The following is a 17,298-nucleotide window of genomic DNA, read 5'->3' on the forward strand; positions in this document are numbered from 1 at the left end:
AAGCATAGGGAGCTTGCTGACTCAGGAACCATTGAATTTTTTTCTAGGACAAACGTGTAGCCCTTTCTGCCCTTAAAGGCAAGAACCGCAGGAAATCATGTGTCTTTACTAATAGGGTTGCATACACCATCCTCCTGGACTGTGCTCTTAGAATTAGTAGGATCTGGAACAAAAAGGAGTATCTCTCACGATCACCAGTACCCCACCACTACCATAACCAGCGTCACCATTTCCATGACTGGATTCACAACAACACCACTGTTACTCTCACCCTCGTCACTTCCCTTGCCTGTCTTTCCCACATAATTATTCTTCTGGCCATTCCCACTGCAGTGGATAATCTATTGTCTGCATCTTCCCAACACACCTCTTTCCTTCCCTTTCCCCATGTCATGTGGTTCCATCACTGGTCCAAAATTTGAGCCCAAGATACGAATACATCTGTTTTACTGATATTGGGAAAGACTCTTTTTTTATTCTGTCACTGGAATCACAAGGCTGGTCTGGGTAAGTCTAAAATTGCTAGAGATTACTAATTGCCAACAGGAGAAAAAGAGCTTATTTAACATGAAATATACACCGAAGGGAGCAAATCAGAAAAGAGGGGGAAAAAAAGAGAGAGAAGCTCTTTTAAAATTGTTGAGCCACCTGGATTCAGCCATGCCCATAGTTTTAGTTATTTAAAATGTTAATTGTTTTGCTTACACTGCTTTGAATTGGGTTTCTTTTGGCATAAAAATGAAAGGATTTGACTAAAACCACCCTCCCTGTTACCTGGTTCATATTTCCCACCTCTATTCCAACTACACTCCAGCTTGGCATCCCATATCAAAGTGTTTGCTGGCAAGCCAGGGCCTGGGGTTGAGATTCTAAGGGATAACTATGATCTCCTACCTAAGTAAGCCTAAAGATGAAGCTACATTTCTTAAGGGAAAGCAAGTCCTTCATGCCAAGGAGACTAAACACAAACTTCAAGCCTGGAACAATTAGGATAACACCAAGTTTAAAACAAGAGTAAAAGACCTGAGATAATTGTTCCCGACACTAACAGAGTACAGGAAATTTCCTTTATGGACTAGCATTTTGGTTAGTGAAGATAGGAGGGTGACTTAGCAAATACAAACCAAGATGGAAGGTACCACTTTCACCAGCATCACAGTCCACCAAGTATCAACAGCATCATGGTGGCTGTCTTGCATTTCATCTTTTACTGGGCATTTAGAATTCAGCAGATACAAAAAGGGCCTCTACTTTGCAGGAGTATATATTCCCACAGGGTGGAAATACAGAAAGACAAATTCAACAAATAAACTTTCACAAGCAACAAAAAGCTATTTGTCCCCAAAAGAGTGGCTAAGATACGAGGTGAACATTAATATACATTTGGAGATGTTTGGGTCTTTCTTTTCATAGGATTGGCCATCTTTAGAAGGCAATTATTTTAAAATAGCATTCTGTTTCCTCTGGTGGTACATTTCTACACCTTCCACAATGGTACTGCTTTTCAATGCTTTAAAAACCACAGTAGAAACACAAAGAAGGATATGTATGCATTCTCATTTTCTTGTACCTTCCTCCCCAAAATCACTTTCACCACCATTCTCATCACTTCTACTACCACTAGAATGGCACAATCCTGGGACATAGGCTGGGAAGAATGATACATCTTTTCTCATAACTGATAATGCTTGCTGATAACATGTACTCTCTTCCTGGTTTTAAAACTAATGTATGTCAATTATGTATTTGTTAAATACATTTGTTTACAAGTAGCAAAAACCAACTGAAGACAACATAAGCCTTGAAGGGGCCTATGATAGAAGGCCATAGGAGTTACTTGAGAACCTAAGGTGCAGGCTCCAGCCAGTCCTCCAAACAGACTGGACCCAGGAAGTCCCAGATATGCCCCTTCTTTCTGCTTCTCTCAGAGTCTTTTGCTCCAATCTTCTCTCATTCTATGCACTAGCTTTCTCCTAGCAGTTCCCAGAGGATCCAGAGCCTAGACAGCCAAAGCATTGAAAACCACTGTGAAAGATTTAGAAATGTACCACCAGAGGAAACAAAATGCTATTTTAAAATAATTGCCTTCTAAAGATGGCCAACCCTATGAAAAGAAAGACCCAAATAGCTCCATTTCATTTTCTTCTGGGTGCTACTAATGGAAAGCAGCCTAGTACGGTGGATGAGAGCTGACTCCACATTCTGCTAGCTGCATGACTTTGGGTAAGCTTTGCCCCTTGCAAAAATAAAAAGAAATAAGGCCCTCTTCAGAACAATGTTCATCCATGGAAAACACTCTGTGAGCAGGGGCTAACATAATTATTAATACAAAAGGGGTAGATGACCAGTTCTTTTGATTGAAAACACGCTGAAGGATTGTGGACATTCAAAGATAAGGCAGAAGATACCTTTAAAATTAGGAATCAGATATTATAGACTCACTCCAATTAACAAAGAGAGAAGAATTCCAAGTTTCCCAGAACAAACTGGGAGGAGAGAAACGGAGAGAGAGAAAAGTAGTATGGCAAGAGAAGGAAGCTTAACATGGTATAGTGTTACCCATGTGGAGAGCCAAATGGACTTTGAATAACAGGAATCTAATACAAGGGATCTTAATCCAGGGCCCATGGATCCCAATTGATATGGAGATAAAATTCAGGGAGTCCTTGAACTGAGTTGGGGGAAAAATTACAGCTTAGTTTCACCAACCTCCAACTAAAAATTAACATTTTCTTCAATTATAAATGTAGGCAACACATCACAATAGTTATTGGTAACTTTTGTGGCTTTGCAATCAATAGAAATCACAGATGGTCTCATGTCATATTGTAGTTGTTGAATACATTTCAAGATATCATTTATACTTATCATTACTTTAATATTATACTCAATTTCTGTCTAACCTGTGTATCATGTTACTGAATGCATTATTAATAAAGAAGCACTTTACATCACTGTATTACCAGTTTGCTTTTTCTTAAATATTTGATAACTTTATTTCAACATAATTCATTTTCTTTATAATCCTGTACATTTTATTGCATGAATTTAAAAACATAATATTTGAAAGGGTCTATAGTTTTCACAAAACTGCCAATAGGGTCCATGAAAACAAAAAAGAAAATCTTTAAGTATCTCTGATATAATATAGGATGTATTCATCTTTTATATGGTATATGATAATAACCCTTCTCTTAAGCCATAGATCTTTAGTAAGAGTCTAGTATGGTACATGCAAGAGATTCATATTCCAGATTGTTTGAAGGAGGACTGGAGGTAGAAATAAAAGAGAAGGAACTATGCCCCATGCATTGGTTAAGCTACCAGATCAGAGATATAAGAACCACACACTTTGGGAGGCCAAGGTGGGAGGATCGCTTGAGGCTCGGAGTTCGAGACCAGCCTGGGCAACGTAGTGAGACCCTGTCTCTACAAAAATAATTTAAACACACACACACACACACACACACACACACACACACACACACACACACACAAAAGAGAGAATGGAATAATGGAATTCTAAAGATAAGAAGTCACTATCAGAGGTGATGATGAGAATGCAAGTCCTCAAGGATCCACACAACTCATTAGGAAGATGTGGACTTTCCACAGGACATGGGATGGCAGTTAAAATCCGCACTGTCTAACTCAAAAGTGGCAGGTTGGCCCCAAACTGACACCTGTGGCTTTAATAATATAAAGACCACCAGTAACCCAAGCACCACCCAGAAATAATTACCATTATTATGCTCATATAGGTCTTCCAGTTATTTTTCTGTATATGCATACATGTATGGTGTTGTATTCATATGAAGAAAAGTTTATTGTATTAACATATATGAATACAATCAATTTTCAAAACTAGACTCAATGAAAGCACACAAATCTTACTTTTTAAACTTTGTCATGCCCAAAATATAATTTTTGTGGTTATATCATGTTTCATCATATGGAGATGCCATCTGCTGTCACTAAATCCTCTAATATTTGACATTTACATTGTGTTTAATATTTCACTTATAAATAATGCTATACAGAAAAATTCTTATACATAATTTTTATTAAACTGATTATTTCCTTAGAATAAACTCCAAGTTATAGAAAAATTAGGTCAAAGTCTACTAACACTTTACCACTCATGAAATTCATTGCCAAATCATTTTTTGTTACAATGTTAATAGCCTCATCGGCAATGTGTAAAAAACTCACTTTGCCATCTTTTTCATCACTGCATATTATCCTTTTTTAAAATATTATTTTTTGTTTTTAATTATAAGGCATGTTTGTAGCTAACTTGGCAAAGTTGTCTGCAATAGTACTTCTCATTGCTGCACGCACCCCTCCTTTGCAATTTGACGTTGCTGCTCCTTCTATCAAGTTGAATGACATGACAGGAAACAGAAACAAGTGTCTCAGCTAGGGTCCTCTAGATCAACCGGCCCCCAGCAAATCCACCAGCTGACTGCAATAGAATTGTGTAACTGTGGGCAAGACCAACAGAAGAAACACCCAGCTGAGCACAGCCCAAATTATTGGCCCTCAGAGTCATGAGTCAATAGAATGGTTGTTATTTTAGCCACTAAGTTTTGGGTTGATTTCTTACATAGCAGTAGATAACTGATATAATGTTCACTTTTGTCATAAAAATGTATATTAAATTTTAGGGAAAAGTAGTAAAATGAATCCAGTATTCCACCATCCAACATAGAAGAGACCACTGCTAACAATTTGATGTATTTTATTCCCATCTCTTTTATGTCAGTATGCATGTACTATATGGATATCAGAACTATAAACTAACCTTGCTTTTAAAGATTGTTACAAAAATTCTACAAGCACACCAGCAAATGTAATTCATTAAAATATTAAAAACAGTTATTTAAAATCACTAATAAAGAGATTATTTAATGCTATTAATGAGAGCTATTTAATGCTATTATTTAATGATACATTACAAATATATGTATCAGGTCAATGAAAGTGCAATTATCTGGATAAATATTAATAAGTAATTGGTAAGTTTGATGTCCATTTTTTAGGAAAAAAAATCATAGAATATAAGGAATAGGAAAATTCAAACCTAATATGACATGATTAAAATGTCTACCTTGAAAGCAATAGTCAATTTTATACCTAATGGCACTATATAAGCGGCATTGCTATTAGAAGTAGGAGCAAGTCAAGAATGTTCCCTACAATATCATCACTAATAATTGCTCTGGAAATTCTAGTTAAAGCAATAAAACAAGAAGAACATTGAAATGTAACTATTAGAAAAAAGAAAATGAATTTATGAACACTTACTCATGACATTACCACACATCTCAAATCCTAAGACAATCAAATAAAAATGTGTTAATTTGAAGATTGAGTATAAGGGCTTGATATAAAATAAATATACATTTTTTCAAAATTGCAATAATAACATATTAGAAAACTAATGGAAATCTATCATCTTTGTAACTTTAAAAATATTTAATACCTCCTATATGTAATTTAAAATATAAATCATCTAGAAATAAGCTAATTACTAAATGTGGAAAAAAAAGAATGAGCTTACATAACTGATGACAAAGAGATTGTCTATTAAATTATGGTGTGTCCATAAGTAATACTACCCAGTCATTAAAAATCGTGTTTTTGAAGAATGTTTAAAAACTTGTCAAAAAGTTGTAATATAGGGTTAGGAAAAGATTCATGATACAAAATACTATATGCAATATCATCTCAAATGTGTGTGTGTCTCTGTCAACATCTGTCTCTGCTTCTAAAAAGAGGTCAATAGAAAGAGACCTGAAGACAAGCTGAGCTGTTGCTCTGGCTCCCTCATCTCAGCCAATGGCTTGTTCCCCAAAGCTGCCCCCAAGACCACAGCCTGGTGCCAACGATGCGTGACATCCTCTATTCTACTTTGGAAGAGAACCAGCCTAACAAGCCTCTACAGTCCCTGTCACAGATGGAGTTCTTTACAGCAGAGATGAGCACCTGGCCTTGGGAAACCAGAGAAACAGGTCAACTGAATGGGTCACCACCATCAGTGTTCTGTAAGCGTGAGAACTCATTCTTCTTCAGCCTTCATTGTGCCTGGAGATCATCATCACCATCACCCCATGGTCATCAACATGCTTGGGCTTCCCAAAAAGAAGCCCAAGGCTATATATCCAAGCAGATTGGACTATTTGCTAAAGATGAGTCTAACTGATTCAACATAGGTATGCTTCCCCTTGCTGAGAAACTGAGGCATCTATGACATAAATAAGGTAGGTGAACAAAGCCCACTGAAAGTCAGATTGACTGGTGTTCAAATCCTGGTTCTACTACTTCCCAGCTCTGGGATTTGGGGCATGTTACTAAATCTCTATGAACCTCACTTTCTACATTGTAGATGTAATTAGTAATAATATGTACCTTACAAGGCTGGTGTGAGAATTAAAGAGGATATAGCATCGCACCACTTATTTCAAGGTAATAAATTTACCTTGGTCTCCAAAAAGGTAAAAAAGTGAACGAGAGCTTGGGCTTCTAATAAAAAGACTGTTGTTGGAGGAAACTCAGACTCACCATGAGTCACTTCAAATGTGCTGAGGCTGTGGAACTGCAGAGGCTATCAGTGCAATGTGAATGGTACAAAGTTGGGTCCCAAACACAGGGCTGGAAGTCCACCAGTATCTCACTGCCCATGATGGGTAGGATTGCCAGGAGTAGCAAATAAGAACACAGGGCAGTTAGATTTTATTTCTAATAGGCAATGAATTATTAAAATGTGGGGTATAAAAGCATGTCCCGAATGCATAAGTATGTATTTTTCTTCTGTTCATTGATACATCCCAGACCCCCAGACTATGCCTGACATGTAGAAGACACTTAATAAATATTTCTCTACCATGAACAAATTTCTGAATATGTAGGCAGGACCCCACGAACGGTATGAAATAAAAGATTTATAATAGGAATTAGCCCTAATATGACTGTTGGAGCTGGTGGAAAAGTGTACAGAAGGCTATAGACTCTGCATCTGGTGGTGGATCTGAAGTTGCTACAGGCTAGCAGGGTTGGCAATCAGGATATCAAATGATGTGAAGAAGAGGAGAGGAAGGAACTGGGATCCACATCTCTCTCTCTCCATGTCTAACCTTGACAACTGGTAACTTTCAGAAGAAGCAGACACCATTTGTCATAGAGCTGCACATATACCTGAACCAGGCTCAGAGAAACTGATCAACAAGATCCAGTGGAAGGAGCTGATCAGCAAAATCATACAAGGGCTGTAGCAGTGTGTGGAGCCCTACACTTTCCATGATTGCGTTAATGATCTTCAGAGTAAAATGAGAGCTGCTTCCTTTCCACCTTCCTCGTCTCAGGTAAATTTCTCTTGTGGCCAACCCTAACCTAGAACCATACAAGGAGGGGAATGTGGGGAAACATAGTTCCATCTTTGCTAAATTGGCACAGTTCAAAACCATCACCATCTACCCTTTGCTCAACTTGGCATCCGTGCATAACTCTTTTAATAATACCCAAATAAAGACACCAGCAAAGTCATATTTCTGCTTAACATGATCCAACTATTCTTCAAACAGTTGAAAACATGCTATCACCCCAAAAGAGGATACAAAGTCCCACATGTCACTTTAGCCATCTCTGGGTAATGTTCATTCATCTTGCAGCTAAGCCACACCTAGTCACACCCTTTTGATATTCTGTAAGTTAAATGCAGAGTTACAAGGTTTACTTCTCTTAATGTGTCTTGCATTTGATGGAGAGAGAATGAGAGTGGAGAAAAAGAAAAGACTTGGTTAATACAAATATAATTATATCAAAATAATGAAGAAATATTCATAATTACTATAGGCCTTATTTCTTCAACTGGTCACGTGGCCATGGCTGGTAGTCCTGGTGCACTCCTACCATCCTTTTCACACTCCCTTTGCAATGAGCAGGTAGCCTGGCTCATCATGCTTTGTTGCCTGATAAAGTGACCCAAAGCTTCATTCCTGAAGGATCTGGGTTGTCAGCTGTCCCGCCTGTATTTGGTCATGGTGGTTTTTCAACTTTTATCACCAGACTTGGAAATACTAATGGGTGCCCCAGGGAATGCCCTACATTCCAGACATACTCCACTTACCCATATTACGTAGTAGCAACCCAGTCACTCCTTGGTATTCAGGATCAGTCACCCTAGCCAGCACAGTAACTCCCTTCTTTGTGGGTCCACTCAGGGACATGAGGAGGCCAAGGAGGCCAGGAAGCAGTCTCAACTTCCCTCTAATTAACTGTTATTGTGCCCCTTTTGGGGGAGCACTTCTCCCCTGGGGGTCTAAGTCTTCTTGGTTAGGAAAGGTTAGGCTGGGTACGGTGGCTCACACCTGTAATCCCAGCACTTTGGGAGGCCAAGACAGGTGGATCACTTGAGGCCAGTAGTTGAAGACCAGCTTGGTCAACATGGCGAAACTCCATCTCTACTAAAAACACAAAAATTAGCCAGGCATGGTGGCAGGTACCTGTAATCCCAGCTACTCAGGAAGCTGAAGCAGGAGAATCACTTGGATCCAGGAGGCAGAGGTTGCGATGGGCTGAGATTGTGCCACTGCACTCCAGTCTGGGTGATAGAGTGAGACTTCATCTCAAAAAATGAGGAAAGACAGGTTAAATTCACAGGGAAGGATGCAAAAACTTTGCTCTCAGACTACTAGGGTAATAGTAAGAGGAGTTCATTCCCAGACCTATGAAACCTGGCTGTGGCGAAACCATCACTGATTATTCCAGCCCCACAAAGTGCTACCACCCAGTCAGTGCCATAAAGTCTCCAAGTGGCTTATTCCAGAATCCTATCAGCCACTTGCTTTGGGCTGATGGAGGACATTGAAAGGCCAGTGAATTTAATGAGCATGAGCCAATGGCTGATCTTCATTTGCTGTCAGATGAGTCCCCTGGTCAGAAGAAATGCTCCTGGAACACTGATGGTAAAGAGGGCCCTCTGAGATCCGTGGTGGTCCTGGAAGCAGCATTTCAGGCAGAGAAAACAAGTCTATTTCTAGAGTAAGTGTCAGTTCCCATGAGAACAAAGCACTGCTCCTTCTATGATAAAAATAATTCAATGTAATTACCCTACCACCAGGCTGATCCCCAGGGGAAAAGTGCCATATTGAGGAATCAGAGTGGGTCACTCCTGTTAGTAGGTAAAGCAGTGAGCAGTTGTCATAGCCAGAGACAGCAGCCTTGAGGAGTGAAAGTCCATGTTGCTAAGCCCATGCAAAACCTCCATCCCCGCCACCAAAGCCATTTAGTTGATGAATTATAGACATACAAGTGACAGAGGAGGCACCAAGAGACTCCTGAGTTACATCTCGTTGTTCTGTGAGCACAAGCACAAAGCAGGAAGTAGGAAACGGGGCTAATAGGAATACGGAAGACTCGGGACTTTAGAGAACAGGCTGAAGTGACCAGAATTTATGATTTCCCATGGGTGGGTCAGAAGAGTCAAGATAATATCAACATCTTCCTCTGTATTCTGGAAGCATCTCAAATGAGCACAGAATCTGTAAGGGATTAACTGTGTGATCTATTCTGACATCCTGCTCAGCAAATGTGCCCCAGAGGAGAGAACTTGCCCCATCCCCACTCACTGGTGGCAGGATTTTGGGGGGACCCAGAAAGAGGCTGGTACATCAGAGCTCATGGAGCTCCCCTTTGGCCCATGTCCTTTGTGATATTCATAGACCATTGATGGCTCCTTCATAATGGACCTCCCAGAACACAAACCAAAGCAAAGCAAAGAGTTCTATACCTCCCTCACTTCCACCTTACCCAAGCTTTTAACTTTAAAAGCCTCAGAGAAAAGATGTCTCCTTTGTTTTACATGTCCCCCTTCACTTCTGACATGGCACCCAATCAGCATGACTTGATAGCACAAAATAGGGCAATGCTGAATGAGGACCCTCCAGTCCCTGCCCTCAGCCCTCATCTCCCTTTTTCCTGCCTTCTCTCCATTCCAGGAGACTGTTGTTACCACAGCCCTGGAATTCCTAGCACACATCACAATGGCCACCTGGAAGTTCACGGGAAGGAAGCTCAACCCCCTGACATCAAGCAAACGGTTGTTAGTTCATGGCAATTAGCAGCTGTACTTGAGGCTGGGGAGCTGAAGTCATAGTCCAGGCTCTGACCCTTACTGGTAGTGAAACTTCACCTTGACCCCTGTGCTTCCCACTCTGTAAAATGAAGGTGGGAACAGCTCGCTGAGTGACTGTTGTGGGGATTAGATGATATTTGTGGAAGAACTTTGTAAGGGGTAAAGAGGTATCACCTTATAAGGTAATGTCATCATTTTTAAGGTGGGGCAAGTGACAGTCAGACACTCAAGTTAGAGCAAAGCCAGGAGAAGGTTGCACTGGCATGGAAAGGGGTAAATAGCCCACCTCCACCAGCCTCTCTGGAGGGTCAACTCCAAAGTTATTAGAGTTTTAAGTTTTGGGTAAAAAATGTTTGTCCTTAGAGTAACTCCTCACTTCTTCAGAGTTATTATGTCCAAGGTGTTTTGTTCTGTTTGTTTGTTTTGGTTTTGGTTTTTGCTTCATTTTGTTTTTCTGAGACAGAGTCTTGCTCTGTCACCCAGGCTGGAGTGCAGTGGTGCAATCTCGGCTCACTGCAAGCTCTGCCTCCCGGGTTCACACCATTCTCCTGCCTCAGCCACCCGAGTAGCTGGGACTACAGGCGCCCACCACCACGCTCGGCTAATTTTTTTGTATTTTTTTAGTAGAGACGGAGTTCCACCATGTTGGCCAGGATGGTCTCAATCTCCTGAACTCGTGGTGTTTTTATTTTGAAAAAGGGAAAAATACGTTTTATGCCCTGAGGTCTAATCACAAAATACCTTCACTCTTCAAGTCTGACCAGGAGCCACTTGCCTCAGAATGACCTGGAGTGTCGTTCAAATGCAGATCCTCAGGCCCCATCCTTGACTATCACTTAATTTTTCTGAGCCTCAGTTTTTGAGTTTTGAGGCGTGACGTAACTTTTGCTTTAAACCTCAGTAAGAGAGTTTCAATAGAAAAAAATGAACAAATGAAAAGATGAATGGCTTGCAAGGGAGAGGTAGAATATGTATCCAGACAAGATGACTCCTATTGTCCCATCCAAATCAGACCTCCATTATCCCAGGTCCCCAAAGATGTCTTCAGTCTCAAACAACCAACAGAGTGGCCCCATTCCTATCCACTGTGCATCCTGGCCAAGTGCACAGTAAGTGGACCTCTTGGCCGGGCATTCTGCCAATGCTGGAGCTGTTAGGAAATAAGAATGTGTGTATTTATTGAAGAAAATAAAAATGTTCATGCGACGTTGCACAGAGACGATTTATGAGATTTTATGAATGTGTCACCAAAAGACCCACTCAGTCACTGCCAATGTTAGGTCTGCAAACACCTGGGGGCTCAGGCAACAAAGCTCCCTGATGGAGTCAGTGGGCAGGACGTGCTTGTGGAGGGGAGTATGAGCCCTGTGCTGCAGGTGCCTGCACCTGTGAGTTGTGTGGAGCCAAGTACACTTAAATCATAAGTGTATATATGGGTGTAAATAAATGTACACACACTAGTGGTGTGCAAGGGAGTATGCATATATGTGGACCCCATGAGATCGCATAGCATGGGCCACTCCTGGTGTGACTAGGAAGAGAGGCTAAGCCACAGTGCAGAAGTGGACCCATTACTCACACTACCTTCAAAGGACACAGAGTTCTCGCTGCTCAAAGGAAGGGGTTAGTCATCACCTACTGCTAAGACCAAAAGCCTTGGGGCATCAAGAAAAGCAGATTATCAAGAGAAAAATGTCTCTAGCCGAGCATGCAAGAATGGATAGAGTCTGACCAATAGGAGGAAGAGCAGGGTCCCATCTTGCTCACCTCCTCTGCTGGGCCTGAACTTCTCATTGACATTATAGCCTATTAGTTCCAGGTCTCTGAAGCCTCTCTGAGTTCTGTGAACCAGGTTTATGCCTTACCGCCCTCCTGGGAGCATTGTCTTGTGCTCTCCAGCTGCCAGGCTGGTGCAAACCACAGAATGAACAAGCTCTCCTACTAAGCCCCTTGGAGCCTAGAGTAGTTCACTGTTTTCTGAGGGTTACCTTCTATGGGAGAAAGTTCAAGAAAATGCATAGAAGGTATGTTATTAAAAGAAAAGGGAAGAGGAAGAGAAAAGGAGGAAGGAGAAGGAGGAGAAGGAAAAGGAAAGCAAGAAAGAAGTGCTTTTAGGGTGAGTCCCTGAATCACCCAGAGTCCATCTTCATAAAAATAGCCTTAAGACCCCTTGTGGGCCATGCAAGAAGGAGGGGTGCCTACTTCCTCCCTCCCTTTCATTCCTCTGCAACAAGGAGAGAATCATAGGTTTTGCAAGAGCCCTTTGTTTGCCTGGGGCACGCCATCATCACATGCATCTTCTCAGGCACGTGAGGGAGGTCACTTCCCTACGAGACAGGGAGGAACCCTGGGCAACTGTGGCTTGGAAATGAAACCAGCCCTTTCAATGTATCTCTTTGGTGACCAGGATGGTTGGTCCTGCTTGGAGTCTGAGGTTAGGGGGCAAGATTCTGTGAATGCCTACCCTGTGCTGCATCCTCAGCTGGGCACTGTCCCATAGGCTCTTTAGTCCCCACCTCAACCTAAAAGAGGAAACTAGTGTAGCCATGGCATACATGGCTAAGATTTTAAGGATCCAAGGGGCTGTGACATTGGATCAAAGACTTAAAGGTGGCAAATGGCAGAGCCGTCTTCCAGGTGGAACCAGAGACCCATTCCTCTTGTGCTCCCAGCACCAACTGCTTCCCTCCCTCAGAGCCTTTAAAACACTGCACTGCTTGTCTCTCTCTCCATTATCCTGAGTGCTCTTGCAGGTCAATAACTAGTTCTGCACTCCTCATCCCAGAGGTCAGCACAGGCTGGCATGGAAGAGGAAGTACCTATGAAATGGCTTACAGAGGGAAGGAGGAAAAATGGAAGTGTCCAGGAAGATGCATTTCTACCCAGCATCACCCCTCCTGACATTAGGAACTAGTTAAGGCTCCCTGATGGCCAGAAGCAAGAGTCAACATCTCTGCAACGTAAGCCTTCTGGTATCTGATATCCCCACCATCTGCCCTCACTCTTGCCCCAGAGCGTCTCCAGGTGAGCAGAGATTATGATTGCCAAAGGGAGCCATTTCAGGCCTCAGACCCCCAAGCTTCACCAGAGAAAGCCCCTGTCCTGGTAAAATATGATGTCACTTTCCCATTCAGCCTTGGTTAGCTGTTCTATGAGCCAGGCAGAGTAGGGATCTGTTCATATCTATACTTGCCCCCAGGGAGTAGCAACAATGGACTCATGATATAAGAACTCAGTGACCAGTGGTACCTGCCAGTGGCCCACAAAATTGTATTGTTGAGCTGACTTCCTCCAAGTTTTTGGAGGGGGTGGGTGGAACCAGAGCTGGGCCTGGTTCCACTGCAGAGTGTGCAGGTCACTAGAACAACCAGGAGAAGGAAATCTAATGGCTGGATCACAGTTATTGATGTTACACCTCTGACCTTTTCTCAAAACCTTTGCAAACCATTGTTTGGATTTGCAATACTGGAAACTATCAGCGGAAGGTCTTGACTGTGAGCAAAGATAAAGTTATGAACTCTGGGAACTGCGCTGTGCCAGAAAAGTGCTTCCCAAGGTTTCATGTGCAGACAAAGCACCTGGGGATCTTGCTAAAATGCAGACACTGATTCGATAGGTCTGAGGTGAGACCTGATGCTATGTTTCTAAGCAACTTTTGGGTGATCCTGCTGGTCCACGGATTACTCCTGGAAGAGCAAGGGGCCCAGGCTGGAGCTGGCTCACGCTGGCTAAGACTAACATTCTACTCACTTCCTTGCCTCAACACACAGAAGGAGCCCAGTGCCTGTTGGGAATATCCAAACTCTCTACCTTGCAAGATTCCTTCCCAGCCAGACCCTACTTCACCCTCCTTCCGCCACCTCCCCGCAGCTGTGCTCCAAGCACAACAAATGGCCAGATTTATCCCAGGCTAGTCAAGCTCTATTCCACTAGCCCATCCTTACCAGTGCTGGTTCCTCTGCCTAAAATGCCCTTCTTCAAGGCTTTGGAAGCTCCTACTCATCTTCCGTCACACTTTCCCCAGTACCCGTTCTGCTTCTGTTGCTTGCCACTTGTATGCAAATTACTTCCTCTCTCTAAGCCTCAGTTTCCTCATCTATAACTTACAGATAGTAATAATGTTTACCCCAAAGGGGGTTTTCTAAATATTGAAGGAGATGATAGACATAAAATGCTTAGCAAAGTGCCTGAGACATTCTAGGTAATTAAAACAGTAAATTGATGTAACTTCCCTCTGTGAAATCTTTCTGGAATTTTTCCATTTACCTGATTTTTATTGCTCCCACAAAATCTGACTTTTACTTCTATGGTGGCCCTTATCACTGAATTTTACAATGGCCTATTGGCTCTAGACTGTCTTATCTAATAAGTTACAAGCACCTAGAGGTCAGGTTCATGTTTTACCCACATCTGCTTTCTCGGGATCTAGCCCAGAGACAAGTACAGAATGAACACTCAGCAAGTAGAGGCCAGGACAGCCACAGCCAGTGGCATTTAGGGGTGCTCTGTATCTAATGGTGGCATAACTCACGGAGCAGTACAGTTAACTGGAAGATTCAGGAAAGCAGTAGCTCTATTTAAATGAGATGTCCAGATAAACGATGATTTCATATCCAGGTAAGACATTACTCTTTATTTACTCTTTATTTTTAAAGGATTTACCAAGATTTTCTTAAGTGGATTCCATACTTAAACAGAACACAGTGGTCTTTATATAATCTTTCCAAAATTGCTTGGGGACACCTAAAAGGCATTAATCTTTGCCCCCAGAGACAGGGCGACTGAATACTTGGTTTGTCTGGGACCATTGTTTTGCACTCATTGGCTGGTCCTGTTATTCCTAGCATCCCATTTTATTCTTTTAAGGTCTCCTAGTTTGGACAAGAAATTATCAGGTCACCCTAACCAGTGATAGATGATACTGGATCAAAGTAATGGTTCAAGGAACCCCTGAGATGGTTACATATATTTGCTATTTGTAAATAGCAAATTTACAAATATAAAATTTTTAAATTTTATATTTAAAAATTTAAAAATATAGCACTTTTTTAAAATGCAGCACTTCCCATTGAAAGAAGGAGTCTCCGTCCCTTCCCTTGAATCTAGGCAGCTTTATGACACTTTGACCAATAACATATAGCAAAAGTGACCTCCTGCAAGCTTCGCCAAGACCTTAAGAAATTGGTGAATTCCACCTCTTGTGACTTAGGATGCTCATGATTAGAACTCAGCCACCATGCTGTGAGGAGGCCCAAGGTATGTTGTGGAGAGCCTCCTGTAAAGGGGACCAAGAGCGAGAACCCTGGCGCCAGCCTTGTCAGTGGGTCATCCCGGCAGTTTATCTTCAGCCTCACTTGAGCTGCTTCAGCTGATGCTGTGTGGAGTATTGTGTGTCACTTCCAAACCCTGCTCAAATTGCAGATTTGGGAACAAAGTAAATGATCGTTGTTTCCAGTTATTATTTGAAGAGTATCTTTATGTAATAACAGATACTTAGTTGCCCAGAAAGAAAATCCTGCCAGAAAATTCAGCATTTTGGACTGGTAGACACCTGATATAGAGTTGGGAAAGTTCCTGGAACAAATGCTTGCTACCATCATCATAAGTATTTATATATATATATATATATATATATATATATATATATACATACACACACACACACACATATATACATGTGTATATATATATATATATATAAAACTGTCTTTGGTCAGAAATGTTTTGCTAGGGATTTCGCCAGTTTGGTGACAACAGGGTTTACCAAAAAGTGTTCACCGTTCACCCTAAGATAATTAGCAGCAAACCTAGTAACAAGATGAGTCACTCTGAGATGGTGACATGAAGGATTTTCATAAATTGCTCTGTCATCTTCCTTCTACATAATCATGACCAAGTAAGTCATTTTACCTCTTGAATCAACAATCAAGGTAATTTGTCTGTATAAAGAACATACACAGCACAACCCTTTCTGGGGAAATTGATATTTCAGACCCGGAGCTCAGAGATTTTCTCATATGTCAACCACATCTTTCAGATGAGAGCCCCTTAAACAGGAAGTTTGGAAGAGTTCAGCTTTAGGGCAAAAAAGGGAAGTGAATAAGGAGGGAGAGAGAGATGGGATGGGAGGGGCAATGAGGGAAAGAGTCTGGAGGAAACATGCCCCTTACAAATTCCACCACTCATGGGTGTCCCAATCATTCATTTGTTCATTTAGCAATATGTCTCGCCTGCCAACCATGTACCAGGCCCTGGGCTGGGAGTGGAGCAACTAGCAGTGTTCAAGACACACTTGATCCCTGCCCTCACGGATGGGGCCCACAGCCAGTGAGGGGAAGAGGCCATTAAGTAAGATGTGGCAGTAATAGTGTGTGTGTTGTGAAAAGGGAAGTGAAGGGTGGGGAACCACTTGTGGGGGTGAAGGGACTGGCCAAACTGGGGGTCAGAAAAGGACTCCCTAAGGAAATGACATAGAAGCCAAAACCAGAAGGATGAGTGGGGATTAGTCATCCTTTCCTGCCTTCCTCCTCTTCTTGAATTCACCTCTGTGCTTAGAGTAAACGAGTCCTCTGACTTTCATTTGTACACACAATCCTTCCTCCTCTCGTCTCCTGCACTGAGCTTTATCTTACCTGCACTGCCTTTAAAGAAGTCTCTCTTCACTAAACCTCTGCCTGAAACTTCATTGCTTTTAGGGTAAAAACCAAAGGCCTTAACATGGCTTACTAACTCTGTCTGTCATTGGTAACTTGGCTTCAGCCACCCTGCATTTTCTTCCTGCCACAGGCCCTTTGCATATCCTGTTCCCTCTACCTAGAACACTCTCCCTTCCTCTGTTTACCTAGTTAACTTCTACTTATCCTTCAGATCTCAGATCACTTATTTTCTCTGGAAAGCCTCCATGACCTCCCTCAACTCATTAAAGGCTCCTGTTTTTAAGGTCTCAAAACCCATGTACCCTTCATTCTTAGCAGTCATGATAGGTGCAATTTCTATGGTTTGTATGATAATTTGACCAATGCCTGTCTCCCCAGGGAGACCACAAGCCCCAGAGGAACATGGGCTTGTCTGCCTTGTTTACTGCTTCATTCCAGCACCAGGGTTTAACATGAAGAAACAACCTAATTAAATGTTGGAGGCAAAGTGCTGACGCCAGAGTATTA

This window comes from Homo sapiens, chromosome 20 (assembly GCF_000001405.40).
Source record: "Homo sapiens chromosome 20, GRCh38.p14 Primary Assembly".
In the NCBI taxonomy this organism is placed as follows: Eukaryota; Metazoa; Chordata; class Mammalia; order Primates; family Hominidae; genus Homo; species Homo sapiens.